This window comes from Homo sapiens, chromosome 1 (assembly GCF_000001405.40).
Source record: "Homo sapiens chromosome 1, GRCh38.p14 Primary Assembly".
In the NCBI taxonomy this organism is placed as follows: Eukaryota; Metazoa; Chordata; class Mammalia; order Primates; family Hominidae; genus Homo; species Homo sapiens.
The window spans coordinates 152,750,785-152,769,532 of record NC_000001.11 but is presented as its reverse complement, the minus strand read 5'-3'; the positions used below and the strand labels follow the sequence as shown (position 1 = coordinate 152,769,532).

Sequence of the window (18,748 nt, the reverse complement as noted above, 5' to 3'; positions counted from 1 at the left end):
CTCTAAGAAAGAATTATCTTGTCCAAATCGTCAGTAGTGCTGAGGATAAGAAATCCTGCCCTGGTACAGGAGGATTAAGACTATACTCACTGGAGACACCTCCTGGATTTCTCACCGAACAAAGCAAACCTCAGAAGAATGCTGATGAAATGCTGTAGAAATGACTGATTAATTAACTTATTGCTCAATCCAGATTTCACATTCAGGCCAGGTCAAGGAAGGACAGCTTTCAGTGACTAAGGACCCAATCCCAATTCGAGCCTAAATAGTATTTCTGATTGACTGCAAAGCCTCCCCTGTCTCATATTTCCTCTCCCTCTGGTGAACTAAGGAGCCGTGCTGATGGCACACTGGCTGAGTGGCATCAATACACTGATGACCGTCTGTGATGGCTGCTGACCTTGCTGTGCTTAACCCCACCCTCACTCTGACATCTGGACTTCCTTCCCCCAGATCTTATACTTCCTCTAGACTCAGTGTTTTGCTTAAGGCATTTTTCCAATTCACCCTATCCGTGTCCTCTCTGCTATTCCATAACCCACCACCGCTTCAATTCCTCCTCCTTGAAGCTTCCTGCCTGCCCCTGCTGACCACAAGCATCCCTACATGTGCATCCCTGCGGCTCATTCAGTCTCTGCTCCTGCCTGGGCTTGAATAACCCTTGTGGCCCACCTCCTTCATCAAACAGGCCATTTCCCAAGCCAATCATCCCCCTTTTCTCCAGGTGAATATTTCACTGCCAAAAGCAAATATATTTTTAGTGTTTTATAATATACTATTTTAAATAGCTTATCTCATTTAATCCTCAGAGTGATCCAGACAGGTAGACATATTTTCAGCTACATTTTATAGATGGGGGAACTGAGAGCCAGAAAAATTGCCTGAGTCAACACTTCTCAGCTAATGAGTGGTACAACTGGGCTCAAACCCTCCTCTCATGATGCCTCTTCCATGCCCTTTCTATTGCTGAGTATTTAGGCCCCACAGCCTCTCAGCCCCTTCTTCCACACATCTAGCTCAGTACTTCTCCCCTTTTTGTACTGTTTGGGATGCTTGCCCAGGTCGTCTTCTTTGCTATATATGTTCTGATTTCCAGATTAGTTGTATGTTTTGATTTATTATATAATTTTTTAAAATATGCCCAATGTTTTCTTTTCTCTGCTAGAATTTAAACTCCTTGAAAATAAGGATCTTGTTTTGTTCACTGATTTATCCCAATCATCCAAAATACTGTCTGACACATAATAAATATTCAATTAACAATGACTAAATGTTTGTTAAATGCATGGATGAACAATATATTTCATTTCCAAACAGTTCTATTACTTTTTCTTTATTTCTAGCCAGAATCTTCTTACAGTTTCCATGCATTGAAACTGAACTCTTTGTTTTACCAAAAAAGCTGATTCTTTTTCTAAGTGAAAGCACTATAAATAATGCAAGATGGAAGCGTGCTAGTCCCTTCAAAACATAGTGTTACTCTTCCTTCCACAGGGAGGCAGATCAAGTTTTGGAACAAGATTAGCCTAGGCTTGAATTCCATCACTATCACGTCTTAGATGTGTGACCAAATAAGCTAGTTAACCTCTCTAGATTTTGTGTCTTCTAATGTCTGTAAAATGGGGTGAATGATGTCACCTTTCCAAGTTGTGAGCATGAGGAAGGATTTCCCACCTCAGATGGTGGCTGGCACATAGTAGATCACTATCCTCCAGCCCCACACATTTGACCTGAGCTGACCACAGTGCTCAGGTGTGCGCATATCTGTGCCAAGCAGAATGACCCCATCACACAGAGCTATTCAGAACAGGAGTTCATTGCCGTTTGGCACAATCTCACTCTTGGCCCACACTAAGATTCTAATCAACCAAAATTTCTTCATGTGTGCAACTGTGCATATACCCACTCATCTTCTACAAGTGTGGCTAATCTTTAATGTACATTAAAACTTAATGTTTACTTTAATTACGTTTTGTCTTGTCAGATTAAATTCATTATTCTTGCCCATGTTAAATCAGAATTTTACTCTTCAATTCTCCTTCATGACTTGAAGTAACCTGAAATTTAGGCCAGTTTCTTTTCAAGCTTCTCCCCAAGGTGCTGATAAAAAGTTCATTACAACAGGGCTGAGAATGGAGTCCTGGGACCAGCATAAAACTTCCATATAGTGTTAGGAACCAGGAAGGATATTTAATTAATGAGGACCTACTCCTCACCAGGCTGTCTGTCACTAAGTCAATGATGCTGATAGCATGCCTGCTGTTATCTCTGAGAGGGGAGAAGACTCCCCTCTCTCCTCCATCATCAGCTAACTGCCACTCATTTGTCTCATCTCTGACTTGTAGTTACCTCCTTTAGGCCCTGGACTTGCTAAACTTCCCCCTTTGTGGGTTTCCATGGTACTCTGAGCCTCCCATATTGAAGTTCTCACTATATTATTGTCTGCATTGCTCACTAGTGTATCTCCAGGATCAATACCAGTTCCTGAAAGACAGCAGAGCCTCAATAAATATTTGTCAAGTGAATGAATGTGTTGACACAAGTTCATAAGTGGTTTCCTCCCTCCCTGATGGGCGTGCACTAGAGAATAGAGGAAAGGTGTGGATCTAGCTCAGGGTTCCTATGACAAGATGTGATGGGTAGATTTGGCACAGCTTGGGTTATTCCTAGGCCCCTAGATAGGTCTAGCTTAGCCTTCCAGAACAGGAAACACCATCTTTTGGAGGAATGAGCTGGATGGTCTCTGGTGATGAGAAGCACATAGATCATCAGGCATCACCCCGTCTTCCTGACTAGTCTCAGGCATAGGCATGTGGATCCTCTAGAATCCATTCATGCCATGCCAGAATTCATGGTTCCCATTACTGCTGTCTACCTATGGATTCTAATATGAACAGCTGAGCTATTCTCTGATGCATAACAGTTGTATTTGTTGATTCACTAAAGGGTGTTATAATGTGTAGGACAAACTGTGGGATGTGGAATTTCTTTCTCTTAATGTCCAGGTAATGCCTGGGTAGAGGAGAGATATGCTATGGCTAGACCCCCATCTCCCATATGTCTGTATGGGAGATTTTTGGTGGCAGTGAAGTTGGGGATTTAATTGTGGAAAAGAAAGAGATTCCTTCATCTTAAGGTACTTCTAGACCAAGAGGTAGATAATTTGTGTCCCCACATGGACAATTACATAAAACCTCCTACAAGAAACCAGTTAACAGTCAGCTCTGTCTTCACCACCACTTCCACATCCTACACATGCTGGGGCCAGATATGTACAACTTTCAACCCTCCTCCTAGGCAGTGAGTAAGCTCACACACCTGGATATTCATTATAGAAATGGTTTTCACTTCTGATTGATCAGAATAATTCTCAAATGGAGGTCCCCGATTTTCATTCTGGAAGTTCAAGCTAAGTAGTTCTAGGATGTATCCTGGGATTCTGTGTCTTTGAGTACCCCAGATAATTTCACTCTAGCATACTGCCTTCCACAAAAAGGAATTTTAGATAACCCACCTGGTCTGGAAGGAACCTCTGAGAACATCTTTCATTCTACAGTGAAGATCCCACTGTGGAAAGCTTAGAAAGAGAAGAAAGATACAGAATTGCAGAAGAATGTAGGCAGGATTCCAAAGTGAGAAGCGTGATCTTCAGGCCCAATCTCTCTCATGTTCTCCCCTTCTCTGGGAGCCAGGCCCCAGTTCTGAGGCAGCATGGCTGGATGTCAGGCATGGACGTCTGGACTGATCACTGCCTTACACTTTGTGACTTGGCCAATTCATGGGCACTTCTGAGCAACAGTTCACCAGACTCTGGTACAGAAGCTACACAACCTGTGCACTGCCTAACATCCGTGTGGGATTTGAAGAGGAGCCTCTCTGGTGGGTTTTTGAGTACATCGAAGGGCCTTATAAATGGTCCCTTTTGCTCTTTTGGGTCTTCAGCCTTGGTCCTGGAGACACTTTAAGTTTCGTTCAAGTGGTTGACACAAAAGGAAAGGTCAGAAAGCCAAGATGCCTGTCATCAGTGAAATGGTGGATGGTGGAGAGTAGAAGAGATGGCAGGGATCATCAAAGCTATTGCTGAAGGACTTAGGATAACCTAAAGCATACTTCTGAGGTCACAGCCCCTGCTGCCAAATGCATTTTAAAAGCTCCAAGCTTTCAAAGCAGACAGTTAGACACACAGACAGACACACAAAAAGAAACATGAAAAACAGACACACACCCCTGTGTGCCTTTTTCCTCTGAGGTGTTTGTCTCTGGCTGTAGAAATGGTCTGGGGGCTGGCTCCTGCATAGCCCTGGGTGGTGGAGAACACCAAGCCATTGGGGGTTTCTTGGCTCAGCTCCAGGCTTGCCCAACCAAAGACCCCTCCATTCTACCATCATTCTGGGAACCAGAATCTATCCCCAGGGGATGGTGCAGACTACAGAGCATCACTCATTCAATAAAGATCCTCGATGGGGACCTGCTGCCCAGACCTGGGGGAGGTCAGGACTTCTTAGAAGTGAATGCCACTTTCTCACAGCCAGTTATATGTTTCTTCAATATTTTGAGGGAGTGAATGGTCTGCCCCCAAGCATCCCCAGGCAAGGGGTTCCTTGTCTAGCAGTGTGTTTTCGAGGCTATGGGAGAGATGTAACAAGAATCCCTTCCCAAACTAGAGCTTCCAAGCCTCTCCCTACCCTGCCCTCCTCACTCCCACCCAGAGGCCTGGGTGATGGAAACCTAGAGATGCTCTATGGGGCCAAATTCAGGCCCTGCCAAGCCCCTGGGGGATTTGCCACACAGCAAATTCAACTCTAGAGTAGCTTGGATTTTAAGAGAGGAGGCAGATGTGGAACTGAAATAACCCATTCAGTGATTGAGAGAACTCCAAGATTGTGTTAGGAAAATAATTGGGTTAAAACAGGAAAGATCTTTGGAAGAGGCAGGGACTGTGACTAAGATCAAAGGTTCCATGTGTGGTAGAAAAGAGTGCAGACTGGGAGTCACGAGTGGCCCTATGGCTTGGGCAAGAGCTTAAACCCTGAGTGCTTAGGTTTTTAATTCTGCAAAAGGGCAAAATTATAATGCCTGCCTGACCGAATATTATGGGAATTAGAGGATGGATAGTTATGTAGATATGTGTCTGTATACACGCACACAGATATACATATACTATATATGTATATTAATATTCTATCTGCATATGGCATTTCACCAAACCAGTGATGACCAAATGTTCCTGGGCATCAGCAGCACTAGGAGAGCTGGTTAAAACACAGCTTGCTGGGCCTTGCTCTCAGAGTCTTTACTTCATTAGGTCTGGGGTGATGCATTTCATTTGCATTGCTAACAAGTTCCTAGGTGTTGCCGATGCTGCTGGTTCAGGTACCATATTTTGAGGACCAGTATACTAGGTTATGCACTGACAGTAAACAAGGTTATGTCTGTCTCTCTAACCAGGACCATCCTAGCAGACGAGCAATAAGTATTGCCCAACAAATAAATGAATGAATGGATTTCACATGAAGGGCCTCAGTTTTCCTTTATATGACACAGGGTTCTACTAGTTGGTTTCTGAAGTCTCCACCATCAGCCTGGCAGAACTAGATCCCTTGGGCAAGGGAGACACATACTCAGAGCCAGGCCCTGGATCTGTTTCCCAACTATGGCTCTGTAGCTGTGAGGTCCTCTGGGGCATGGACTGTGAGGAGCAGGACAATGGATCAGACGTTCAGAGGCCCGGGCCAGAGCTGCCCTCCGCTGTCCTCCTAAGTGGAGCTTTTTCATTCTCTCTCCCTGAGGGAGGTCCTGTCCTCCAGCACCCTCATCCTCCAGAGCCACATCCCCACCCAGCGTTCATCTCACCTGCAAGGACTGAGAGGAGAGTCACTTCTGTCTCTTCTTCCCCTCCAGCCCTTACCTTCATGCTGCCAAGACCACCCATGCCTAATGGAATCTGGGACCAGTTGAGGAATGCAGAGTCAGACTCAAATGGTTCCATAAAAGAAAACAGAAAGAAAAGTAAATAATTTAGTTCTTTTTTTTTTTTTTTTTGAGATGGAGTCTTGCTCTGTTGCCCAGGCTGGAGAGCAGTGGCATGATCTCGGCTCACTGCAACCTCTGCCTCCTGGGTTCAAGCAATTCTCTTGCCTCAACCTCCTGAGTAGCTGGGATTACAGGTGCACGTCACCACGCCCAGATAATTTTTGTATTTTTAATAGAGAGACGGGATTTCACCATGTTGGTTAGGCTGGACTCGAATTATTGACCTCAGGTGATCAGCCCTCCTCAGCCTCCCAAAGTGCTGGGATTACAGGCATGAGCCACCATGCCCGGCCTAGTTCTGGAAGAAGAGGAGTATCCCCAGAGAGCCTCCAGGTGCTTCATTCTTCCCTTCCTCTGGTTCCAGAGGCAACAGGGCTGTGACTGTGGCCCTAGAGCTGGGCAAAACCCAGTTAACCAAAGCCAGGCCTGAAGTCCTTTACTCCTAGACCAGGGGGCAGAGTTATTCTCCCTGTTCCCTCATCCCCTTGTCTTTTTCTTCATCCTTTCCATCTGGGGCCAAGGACACTGAGGGAAGATTGGAAACTCACAAGACAACCCACTTGGTCTAGGCTTAAAAAGCTCACACCATGGGTACAATAAACTAAAGAAGAAAGGTAATAAATTAAAATGAAAATTCATACTATGTCATATCCATCAAGATGGCTATTACAAAAACAAGACAATGAACAGAAAATAACACATGTTGACAAGGATGTGGAGAAATTAGGACTTGTACCCTGTTGGTGGGAATGTAAAATTATGTAGTCACTATGAAAGATAGTATAGCGGTTCCTCAAAAAACTAAAAGTAAAATTACCTATGATCCAGTGATCCCACTTCCAGGTATCTATCCATAAGAATTGAAATCAGGGATTCACAGAAATATTTGTATACCCATGTTCATTGCAACACTATTTACTACAAGAAAAAAGGTGAAAGCAACCTAAGTGCCCATCCATCCACTGATGAATAAATAAACAAAATGTAGTATGTACATTCCATGGAATATCAGTCAGCCTTGAAGAGGAAAGAGATTATGGCACATGCTACAACTTGGATAAACCTTGAGAACATTATGCTAAGTGGAGTAAGCCAGTCATAAAAGGACAAATAATGTCTTTTTCTACTTATATGAGCTGCCTAGAATGGTCAAGTTGATAGAGACAGAAATGGTGGTTGCTAGGGGCTAGAAGGAGCAAGGAATGAGGAGTTATTATTTAATGGATGAAGATTTAATTCAGCGAGATGAGTTCTGTGGACAGATGGTGGTGCTGGTAGCACAACAATGTGAATGTACTTAATGCCATTGAACTGAATGCTTAAATATGGTGAAGATGGTAAAATTTATGTTACATGTGTTTTACTATCACAATTAAAATAGCAACAATAAAAACCTCATCTCAGCAAATCAAGGAATAAAAGCAGGAATGACTCAGGACTCAGGCAGTGAGTACATAATGATCTTTATTGTCACATGGCCTCCTCTCACCTCAGTTCCTGCAGTTGAGCATCAGGACAGAACATGGTTCAAGCTGCCAACCCACAAGCCTTGCTAAGCAACAGCCAGCCCCAGGATAGACACTGAGATTTAGAGATTCTCCGACTCCACTCAGTTGGGAGTTTACAACCTAGTTGGGCAGATAAGGAAGACATGCCTGCAAAGTGAAATAACAATTCAAGAGATGTCACCAGGCAGTTACCAAGTAGTGCGGGGGATGCAGTGAGTTCTAGGAAGTCGGCACAGGTTCTTGTGAGTGGGAACAAGCAAAGAAGGCTCCAAGGGAGAGGCACTGAAAGATGGGGTGGATTTCAGAAGCTGGGGAGGAGGAGAGAAGTGGTCCAGGCAGAGTGGGGAAGAGTGAGCAGAGGCTTGGAGGCAGGGACATCTAAAGTATGGCCTGGGGAACACCCAAGCTGTGCCCAGTGGCCAGACTGGTCTGGCTAGAGCCGAGGATGCGTACGGGCGAGGAGTGACACGTGAGGCTGGAGAGGCATCTGAGACCCAGGTGTGGATCTTTGGATGATAGGCAAAGGAGTTTGGACATCACCTTCGTAATAGGGAGTCTCTGAATATCTTTGGAGAGATTCAAACAAGAGCGTACTGGAAATTGTGGAATAGGAGGAACAACATTTTCAGAGCAGGAGAGAGGGTTATCTCAGTCACCTTTCCTTTAAAAATAAGCACTCTTTGCTTCCCCTTTCACTCCAGCAAAGGCATTGCCTTGGTCTCCATGGCCATCCTGACCCCTCCGCTCTGGAAACACATCACCAGGCCCACAGCCAGCACCACTCTCTTGCCCCTGGTTGTAACTGGATGGGCCACAGTAGGGAGCTTCGGTGTCTAGGCGGTGTGGACTAGACTCATGACAGCCTAGGTCTCCTGGGTATGGAACTGGATTTGGGCCCCAGCATGGGCTGGGGCTGCGCCAAGTCTCCCTGCAGGGCTCCGGGCTTGGGCAGGGCGCCGGCAGGGGAATTGGCTCTGGTCGTGGACAAGGCTCTGGGTGCTCACAGGGCTGCAGGCATGGACGTGGCTCTGGAATCTCACACTGCCCTGGGCGAGGAAGGGGAACTGGCCGCGGTGTTGGACGTAGTGCTGGAAGTGGTTCTGGATACAAACAAGGTTCTGAAAGTTGTCGTGGTAGAGGACGCGGGCGTGGTTCTAGACTTATGCATGGTTCTGGGCGCAGACGTGGACGTGGAGCAGGAGGTGGACATCGCTGCAGTGGTGACTCTGGACACTGGTCAAGACGCCGTGGTGGACAGAAGCTTGGGAGTGGACGTGGCTCTACGTGTGGCCTCAGCTCAGGGCAGGAGGCGCCCCAGGAGGGCTGCGGGCCACAGCTCTGGGAGCGGCGTCTGATGGGAGGAATCTCAACAGGACACCTCTGTGGGGGAACCTGCCTGGGGCAGCACGGGGAGGAAATCTCGATTCGGCACTTGGGGCCACGTCTCTGAGAGCAGCTTGAAATGGGGCGGCGAGGACAGCGACTGTTATATATGGGTTCAGAGCGGCGGGGTGGGGTGCAGTAGTTAGGGAAACCTTCAGAGGGTCTTAGTGGCAGGTAGCTGCTGGAGCAGGGCTCAAAACGTCTTGGTGGGGAACAGCTGCGGGGGAAAAGCTGCAGCCGCCGAGGAGGAGGAAGGCATCTGCTGGTGCTCCGAGAGCGGTGCTGTTCAGTGAAGCTCCCATAGGAGCCCTGGGTCTGGCACTGGGGCACACAGGGACTAAATGAAGTCCGGGACCGATACTGAGGGAAACAGCTGCTGTAGGAAGGCCTCAACTGGAACTGGGGGGTGTAGTTGTTGCAGGTAGCCCTTGACTGAAACTGGGGGCCACAACTGCTATAGGAGCCTTGATACTGGCACTGGGTGGAGAATCTTCCCTGAGGCTGGCACACTGCAGGACGCCCTCTATACATCTGGACAGGCTGAGGAGCTGGACAGGGTACATAGTTCTGGACTGGGCATTCTACATAACAAGTTTCTGTATAACAAACTGGAGCACATTCTACGAAGCAAGTCTGAACAGGTTGTGACGCTTCGCACTGCACGTAGGACACCTCAGATTGGCATGGAGCCTGGCTTTGAACAGAGGAAGTTTGAGATTGGGATGCAGCCTGGCCCTTCACCTGGGTGGTCTTAGACTGACATTGAGCCTGGCCCTTCACCTGCTTGGTCTTAGACTGGCACTTCACCTGTGTGGTCTGAGACTGGCATGGAGCCTGGTCTGACACCTGGCAAACTTGAACTGGGCATGATGCAGGGCAGTCCACAATTTGCATCTCACAAGGGGCTTGAACCACCACTTGGCTCTGGGCAAAGGGGGATTGAGAGGAGCAGAAGGAGGGACCCTTGACGCAGCACTGTTGGAGCGGCAGGCGGCACTGGATCTGCTGCTGGTCACACATGGTCCTGATGCAGCCAGTCAAGAGTGACCTGAGGGCAAAGAGACCAGGGTCAGGAGGGTGAGAGTTGGAGAGGGGGTGCCAGGACCTAGAGGAAGACACCCTGCATCTTCCCTAGCTTTTCTTCCTCCACCCTCAACTTTCATCCAAGTGTCCTGACTTAGTTCGACCCAGGATTAATCTGTTAGACCTGCCCTGGGTCTGTCAAAGGGCACATCCAGGGTTGCAGATGTCCAGGATCTCCCTGGGGGTGGACCTACCAATGCCCAGAAAAGAGGGCACTGATGACAAAAGGATTCTCCTTTCGTCTCCACACTTTCTCACATCCAATGTGGTCTGAGCAGCCCTACAGGAAGTAGAGATAACAACTTGCTCCTAAGGCTATAGCCCAAAGTGGAAACTCCATTCCCACAGGAGCTTGGATTTACTCACACATGTGCACTGGCAGTACACATAAATGTGCAAACATGTAAGAACGTACATATGAGAATAAGCACTCAGCACCATCTGCATTCACAAAATGTCAAAGCATTCACTGGAAAGCGGGCAGCTCAAACCCAACATTAAATGTTTGTTTCTCTATATTCAATGTTTTTAGATAAATTCATTTAAACATGATACAATGTTTTGAAATAAATTCATTTAAACATGACACAATGTTTTGAAATAAATTCATTTAAACATGACACGTGCAAAGTGTGCCCATGCAAAACACACCAGCCTTGGAAAGACTCTGACCACCATGGCAACTTGCCCAGTCAGGTTGCTGTTGCTAATCACCTGAAGTGTGACAGTCTGCAGGCCTCAGAAATGTTTTTCCCCAGCTCTTCTTAGAGGCAAGGTGGAGTTACCTAAGATGGAGTAAGCCAGAAAGTCCAAGGTTCTTAATCAGAAGACGGACATTCTGCCATACTTAAAGATCTACGCAGCTGGGGCATTGCAAACATAACGTGAGGGCTGCAGGCATACACCCTGACACCATGCTTAGCTGGGGAGAGCACAGGGCAGCCTCACTCGTCTGCTTGTGTCAGATGCACGTGTTTATGTGCAGGCAGCCCACTGACCAGCAAAACAAGATCATTTGACAACAGGCTCATCCAACAAACCGTCTTTCAATAAGCTCCCCAAATGCTCCTGATGAGGGTTCAAACCTTCTATTTTCAATTTGTAGAGAATACCTACATATCTATTTCCCTGGGGAAGGTAACCCTTCCACACACAACTTTGCTCATAAGGTGTAAATTGCTAATGTGGCTTTTCCAGAAAGATCATGAGGGAAAATAGTACCTGAGGATAAGGTCAGGGTTATCAAAGGCAAATACACTAGCTTCACAGCCCTAGCTCATCTCGTAAACTCTGTAGCTATGCTTCTGTCTCCTAAAAGCTCACCAGACTTTTCTCCTCAGGTTAATGCACCCCTCGCCCTCCCTGGTGCCTAGCTTCTCCCTTCTTTGTGCCTCACGACTGTGAACCTGGGCTCTCCCCTGAACATCACATCCACCCCGATCCCAGGATCCAGTTCCTAGACTCACCCTCCTCACAGGCAAGCAGTCCTTCAGGCTGAGGCATCTGGGAAGAGGGCTGTCTTTATATAAAGGGTTCTGGGTCTGGCTTGGGCCATGAGACAGCTGGTTGGCATCCGCCTGGTGCATCAACCGGGCTGGCATTCCAGCAGCTGGTTCCCTCCCTGTGTGCCTGCCCTTGCCGTCACCTACAGAGTGTGGGAGTGGCTTGTCTTAGTGTTGAAGCCTCAGGACTATGAATAGCAGATTCTTATTTTCTTCCTCCTTCATTGCCCTAACAGTTTCTCCTCCATCCCTAGAAGACCTGATGGTCGGGAGATGAGGAGTGACAAAGGTATCTTCTCTCCTAAAAGATGATTGTATCTGCCAACTTCCACTTTGCTTCAGATTCTTACCAGAGTGACATAAAAGAGGAAGTGTTTTCTAACCTGAAGTAATTTAAGTTACTTCAAAGATAGAGGCAACTCTATAGAAGGATGAGCCCATGGGGCCAAAGGTGAGTCTAACATCCCAGGCCGTGTACTTATAGCTATGCAACCTTTATAAACAATCTGAGTATCAAATTACTCTTCTGCAAAAGAGAGATAATTAAATCTTCCTTCCTGATTGTTGTGAGGATTAAGGCAAAAAACCAAACACCGCGTGTTCTCACTCATAGGTGGGAATTGAACAATGAGAACACACGGACACAGGAAGGGGAACATCACACACTGGGGACGGTTGTGGGGTGGGGGGAGGGGGGAGGGATAGCATTAGGAGATATACTTAATGCTAAATGACGAGTTAATGGGTGCAGCACACCAACATGGCACGTGTATACATATGTAACAAACCTGCACGTTGTGCATATGTACCCTAAAACTTAAAGTATAATAAAAAAAAATTCATCCAAGAATGATGTTTAAACTATCCCAAATCCACTCAGGGTAAATGCTGGCCATAAGCCACAGGCACTGCTGAGTCATGGGTGCCTGCTGCCTCCCCATCCTGAGCTGAGCAAGTGGATGCCTGCACAACAGGTGCTCAGTCAATGCTGCAGAGCAGTATTTGAAGGCAGCACCAGGCAGGTAGTGCTGTGGAGTAGCCCTTAAAGGCAGCACAGTGCAGGGCAGAAATAATAATCTGGTACTCTGTGAGCCACATAGAGTCAAAATGGACAGCTCTTTATGTTTTCCCTCATAATACTGTCATTAATTGTTAGTATTTAAAAATAGGCAGATTTTATTAAAGATTCCAGAAATTCAGATTTTCTTCTGAAATAAAAAGATCTAGCATAGTTGAACATACCTTCCATTATCCTGATTAGCAGCTGCCCACCTTAGATAGGGCATTGCTATAGTTTGCGTGTTTATCCCTTCCAAACCTCATGCTGAAATTTGACCCCCAGTGTTGGAGATGGAGCCTAATAGCAGAAGTTTGGGTTATGGGGGAGGATACCTCATGAATAGATTAATGCCCTCTCTGGTAGGGGTGGAGGTTAAGGTCTCTCTCTATTTGTTCCTGCAAGAGCTGGTTGTTAAAAAGAGCCTGGCACCTCCCTCACCCCTCTCGTGCTTCTTCTCTCTTCATGTGATGTCTGCACAGCCTGCTCCCCTTCACTTTCTACCATGAGTGGAGGTGGCCTGAGTCCCTCACTAGAAGCCGATGCTGATGCCATGCTTCTTGTTCAGCCTACAGAAATGTGAGCCCAATAAGCCTCTTTTTTTTTTCTTTTCTAAATTATCCGGCCTCACATACTCCTTTATAGTGGCACATTTGGACTACGACAGGTAAATATTTTGCCGTTCTATAATTTTCCGTTATTCTTTTCTATATCTACAATGTAATTCAGTGTAAGTTTCCTTATGTTATTTTACTTGTGCTTTTATTTTCCTTTGGTAAAATTAAAAGTGAAATAATCCTTCTACCTGGATTATTTCACTTGTTTATATCACCCTTCAACCCCTTTCAACAGAATCTTAAAAGATTCTGACCAAGCTTATGAGCGGAGACTTTATTTGGATTTAGACATATTTTGGGTTGAATCTGAGCTCTAGTAACTTACTAATGGTATGAAAGCTACTTAGTCTCCATGAGCCTCAGATTCATTATCTACTTCTAAAATGGAAAGGAGGAGGAGGAGGAAGAAGAGGGGAGATAACAGCAGGAGAAGAGAAGGAATTAGAAAATATTTTCTCCTACACAGTGGGACAAAATCTTCACACTGGGGATCAAATATCAACATGAGGTCTGGAAGGCATAAACACCCAAACTATAGCAATGCCCTATTAAAGGTGGGCAGCTGCTGGCAAGGATGATGGAAGGTACGTTCAACTATGCTAGATTTTTTGATTTTAGAAGGAAAGCTGAATTTCTGGAATCTTAAATAAAATCTCCCTATTTTTAAATGCTAATGATTAATGACAATATTATGAAGGCAAAACATAAAGAGCTGTCCATCTTGACTCTATGTGGCTCACATAATGCTCATTTATTACTTCTGCCCTGCCCTGTGCTGCCTTTAAGGGCTACTCCACAGCACTACCTGCCTGGTGCTGTCTTCAAGCACTGCTCTGCAGCACTGGCTGAGCACCTGCTGTGCAGCCATCCACTCGCTCAGCTCAGGATGGAGAGGGAGCACCCATGACCCAGCTGTGCATGTGGCTTATGGCCATAGGGTTGTTGTGTTAATTAAATGAGAAAACTAATCTAAAGTACTTAAAACTTAATTAGCCACTTCAGCAGAGTAAACAGACAACCCATAGAGTGGGAGAAAATCTTCACAACTTATATATCCGACAAAGGAATAATATCCAGAATCTATAAGGAACTCAAACAAATTAGCAAGAAAAAAAACAAACAATCCCATCAAAGACTTGGTTGAGGACATGAATAGACAATTCTCAAAAGAAGACATACAAATGACCAGCATACATGAAAAAATGCTCAACATCCCTAATGACCAGGGAAATGACCACAAAACCACAATGTGATACCACCTTACTCCTGCAAGAATGGCGACAATAAAAAAAGCAAAAAATAATAGATGTTGGCATGGATGCGGTTAAAAGGGAACACTTCTACACTCCTGGTCGGAATGTAAACTAGTACAGCCACTATGGGAAACAGTGTGGAGATTCCTTAAAGAATTAAAAGTAGAACTACCATTTGATCCAGTAATCCCATTGTTGGGTAACTACCCAGAGGAAAAGAAGTCATTATACGAACAAGATACTTGCTCATGTGTGTTTATAGCAGCTCAATTTGCAACTGAAAAAATATGGAACCAACCCAAACGCCCATTCATCAACAAGTGGATAAAGACTCTGTAGTATATGTATATGATGGAATACTACTCAGCCATAAAAAGGAATGAACTAATGGCATTCGCAGTAACCTGGAGGGAATTGGAGACTATTATTCTAGGTGAAGTAACTCAGGAATGTAAAACCGAACATTGTATGTTCTCACCGATAAGTGGAAGCTAAGGTATGATGATGCAAAGGCATAAGAATGATACAATGGACTTTGGGGACTCAGGGGAAAGATGGGAAGGGGGTGGGGGATAAAAGACTACAACTTGGGTTCAATGTATACTGCTTGGGTGATGGGTGCACCAAAATCTCACATATCATCACTAAAGAACTTACTCATGTAATCAAATACTTCCTATTTCCCAAAAACCTATGGAAATAAAAAATTTAAAAAATATAATAAATAAATCTGACACCTCACAGTTAAAACGAACTTAATTAGCCACTTAGCTGTCTGGACTTTATTTTCCTCATATGACGATAAAAGTGATAATACTGACTTTACCAGGTTCCCACAAAGAAACAATCAGATAATGGGAATGAAGGTGCTTTGTAACTCACAGTACATATGCCAACTATGTGCATGGAATCTGTCCCAGGGGGATGTCTGCCCAACTCAACATGATTTTGGATTCCTAGTTCTGAATCCTGTCACTCATTCCAGAGGGGTCTCCAGATACTATTTAAAACTTGAGTAGGATCATAGATTTTCAGAATGTCATGGCAACAAGAACCCCCAGGAATTATCTGGCCCCACTTTGTCATTCTACAGATGAAGACTATAAATCTCAGAGAGAGGAAGCTATCTAGGGACCTGAAGCTAATGGCTGCCTTGAAGGGACTAGATTTCAGGTAGCCCAAGTCCCAGATCAGGACTCTTTCCACTTCCAAAGTGATTTCTCTGATCACACACTTTGGCCAAGGTGCTATGAACTTGAATAGCCCTAGGACTATGTTCACTAAGAGGGTGGTCAGGAAAGCAGTGAACAACGAAAACTGAGAGCATAGATCAGCTGGCCTCAAGAGAATACAAATTATTGAATCCTAATGGCTATGTCTCTCTGTATCCTGACATATAAGCCTGTTGATGGATAGATAGATGAGTGGAAGGAAGGGTATAAAATTAGGCTTGGTTCATGTATCCTTAATCACTAGAGAATGACTTGGCATTGTCTCATCTAGAGATCAGAGTACTGCAACCCTTGTTACTTTTTGCTTCTTGCTTCTTATGAAGAGAAATAAAGGATAGGGGTGGGAGTAGAAAGAGCCTGAAAGTTAAGTCTTAGAGACGACAATGAGGTTAGCTCTTAGAGTTTTCAACAATATTTTAGAGACTGATTGTTAAGCTAGAAGCAAATGATTTGACTCCTGAAATTCTTCCTTCTCTTGTGTGTAAGGCTCTAGAATTAAAAAGTTGTCATTGCTTAAATAACTGGAACAAGTAATGAGATTGTCTAAAGGCAGGGTTAAATATGGCGTATTCTCTTTTTCTCCGGTGAAGTTTAGAACTCTTTTAAAGGGCATTCTACTTTGGTGATTTATTCAAACTAAATCATTTCTTTAGCTAGGCATCAGTGTAGTCTTTTAATCTCTGTGATTATGTATATATTTATAGGTGTTTCAATTTTGGCTCAACCAACTCAATGTGGACAAAAATAAGTTTTCATCTCCTCCTATACATTTTCTTTTTCCAAGGTCCAGTTTCTGACAATGATCCATTCACACCATTTTTCATTCACCCTGGATGCTGGTTCCACCTTAACTTAACATACAGTCACCACACTATTCATTCTGCTTTGTACTTGCTTTCAAATACACCCCTACTCTTCCCCCCTCTGCCCCTGCTGCATCTCAGGTCTTCATGACTTCCTACATGGTGCAATGATCTCTTAACTGTTTTTTTCTGAGTCCAGTCTTTTCTTCTTTCGTTTAACTTACAAATAGCCACAAGAGTGATCATCCTAAAAATTAAATAAAATTAAAAACAAAGCTGATTATGTTATTCCCTTTGCTTCCCATTGTCTAGTGGAAAATGTTCAAACTCCTAAGCAAGACATACAAATCCTTTCATAAGCTGCCTCAGGTCTACCCTTCCAGCTTTACATCCTCTCATCATCACTACCTCCCGACCCCCCTACCACTCCAGAAAGCATCAAAGGTGGCATGCATAGTGGCTTTCATTCTCTATGCATGCCTTGATATTTCACTATGTCAGATCTTTGCAAATGCTGTTTCTTCTGCCTGAAATGCCCTTTCATCTCCTACCCACATGTGGAACTATTGCTCATCATCTGAGACAACTACAATGTCACTTCCTTTGCAGTGTTCTCTGTCCACTAAGCCATGACTCAACTCTGAGCTCCGGCAGCAATTCATACACACCCCTCATTGAAGTGATCATGTGTTTTGTGATTATTTACATTCCTGTCTTCTACACCATCTGTAAATTCCTCAGTGAAAATAAGTTTTGGTATGTAAATATTGTATCCCAAAAGAGGTGTTGTGCTAATGCTTTGCTCATTTTACCTTGTTGATTAAACATTTCATTTTCATTTTTACAAATATACACATACCCTTCCACATGCTTATATGCATATAAGCCTAGTATATGTATATCTTATGTTGCATTTTATGGATTGATTCATTTTATTATCTATTGAAATACAAAAAACAAATACATGATAATATGCAAAGGTCATATTAAAAACCATAATGGTAGCAAAAGGATCAATGATGATATATATGGATGATATATTGTATATTGCTATATACAATATATATTATACACATAACTATAGATAAAAGGATGTACTAAAGGCAGAGACTATCTCCAGAAAGAAGTCATTAATTTTAGGGAAAGATATTGAGGCTATTTAGATAAATGGAGGTATTTAGAAATAATTAATATAGGTTGAAATACATGTGGCTAGAAATATAATAATATAAATCTAGGAATAAATGATAAGTATGTAGTGATTTATAAAATTGGTATGAACTATCAGAAGAAAGCTAAATATAAAGATATCCATAAAATTATTAACATACACTTAGAAACAATGGCATACAGGGCAAAAGATGAAGATGAAGTTACAAATTTAAATAAATACAGACGTGTAAATGGAGCAAATTAGGAATGGGCAGATCACATGAAAGAGATCATGAGGCACAGGAATAGCAGGATACGTTAATCAACAAAAAAGTGGAGGCAACTTGGAAAGCACACATAAATCTGGAGATAATTCACTGAGGACTTGCTCTATTACTGTCATTTAGCTAGGGAGCTGAATTATGTTAACTCTTAATTTTTCAAACAACTCTGCAGGGTACCTATCATTATCATTATTTATAAAAAATGAGAGAACAAAGGCTCAAAGATGAAGTAATTTGTTGTAGATAACAAGCTTGGAAACAGCAGAACCAGGACTTATAGCCAAATGATCTGGTGAGAGAGGCCTCTGAAAGTAGACATACAGTAAGGTGAAGTTACCTTGAGTTAGAGAACAGAGATGCACTCAATGTTTTATTAAACTATGAGATTATTTCCAGGAATTATGAACCTTTGAGACCCTGGATTTTCATGTGAAGGAATTTAATGATATCTTGATCCTGAGAGCTAGGACATCCATACTTGCCCTCTGCTCCAAAGATAAGTGTTTTCAACAGATTCAAGAAGAATCTTTTCCCTTGTATCATTTCACAATCTTTCCATTTTAGTCTCTCTCCCATCACTGTAATAGACATATATGTCCTGGGACTCATCCCTGACATGAAGGTGGTATTTGTCATCTGAGGTATCTTCCAATATTTCAGTATGAATGCTTAGTGCCTTGTGACTTCTACCTTCAAGCATTGAAGAAATCAGCATTTTACCTGAGTGCTATTGAGCTTTCCTCCTTAAGCCCAGCTCTGGTAGATCAGACACATATCTAAACTGCATAGTACCTATGTGTCAAGTAGGGTAAAGGTGAAAAATAGTATCACAGGTTTTCAT

General features: G+C 43.9%; 1 protein-coding gene across 2 annotated transcripts, besides 1 other annotated feature; it reads right to left on the bottom strand.

Moving 5' to 3' along the window:
- Positions 1,608-1,797: a silencer, noted in NCBI's record as "fragment chr1:152740212-152740401 (GRCh37/hg19 assembly coordinates)". NCBI's record gives its function as "represses an EF-1alpha promoter that drives an FKBP-Casp9 reporter gene in an ReSE screen in HepG2 liver carcinoma cells {active_cell/tissue: HepG2}" and the evidence as "EXISTENCE:reporter gene assay evidence [ECO:0000049][PMID:32094911]".
- KPRP (keratinocyte proline rich protein) lies at positions 7,477-11,508 on the bottom strand. Of its 2 annotated transcripts, XM_047421164.1 has the most exons (3): positions 11,474-11,508; positions 10,722-10,792; positions 7,477-9,972 (listed from the first exon to the last, which is right to left on the bottom strand). In XM_047421164.1, the coding sequence occupies exon 3, from the start codon at positions 9,942-9,944 to the stop codon at positions 8,205-8,207; it is 1,740 nt and encodes a 579-aa protein (XP_047277120.1). In that variant the 5' UTR covers positions 9,945-9,972; positions 10,722-10,792; positions 11,474-11,508; the 3' UTR covers positions 7,477-8,204. The 2 variants fall into 2 exon arrangements, with proteins under 2 accessions (XP_047277120.1, NP_001020402.1); NM_001025231.3 differs by lacking the exon at positions 10,722-10,792.

Bases quoted from the DNA above. Each gene is read 5' to 3' on its own strand.
- KPRP (XM_047421164.1), bottom strand. From the start codon at position 9,944: ATGTGTGACCAGCAGCAGATCCAGTGCCGCCTGCCGCTCCAACAGTGC.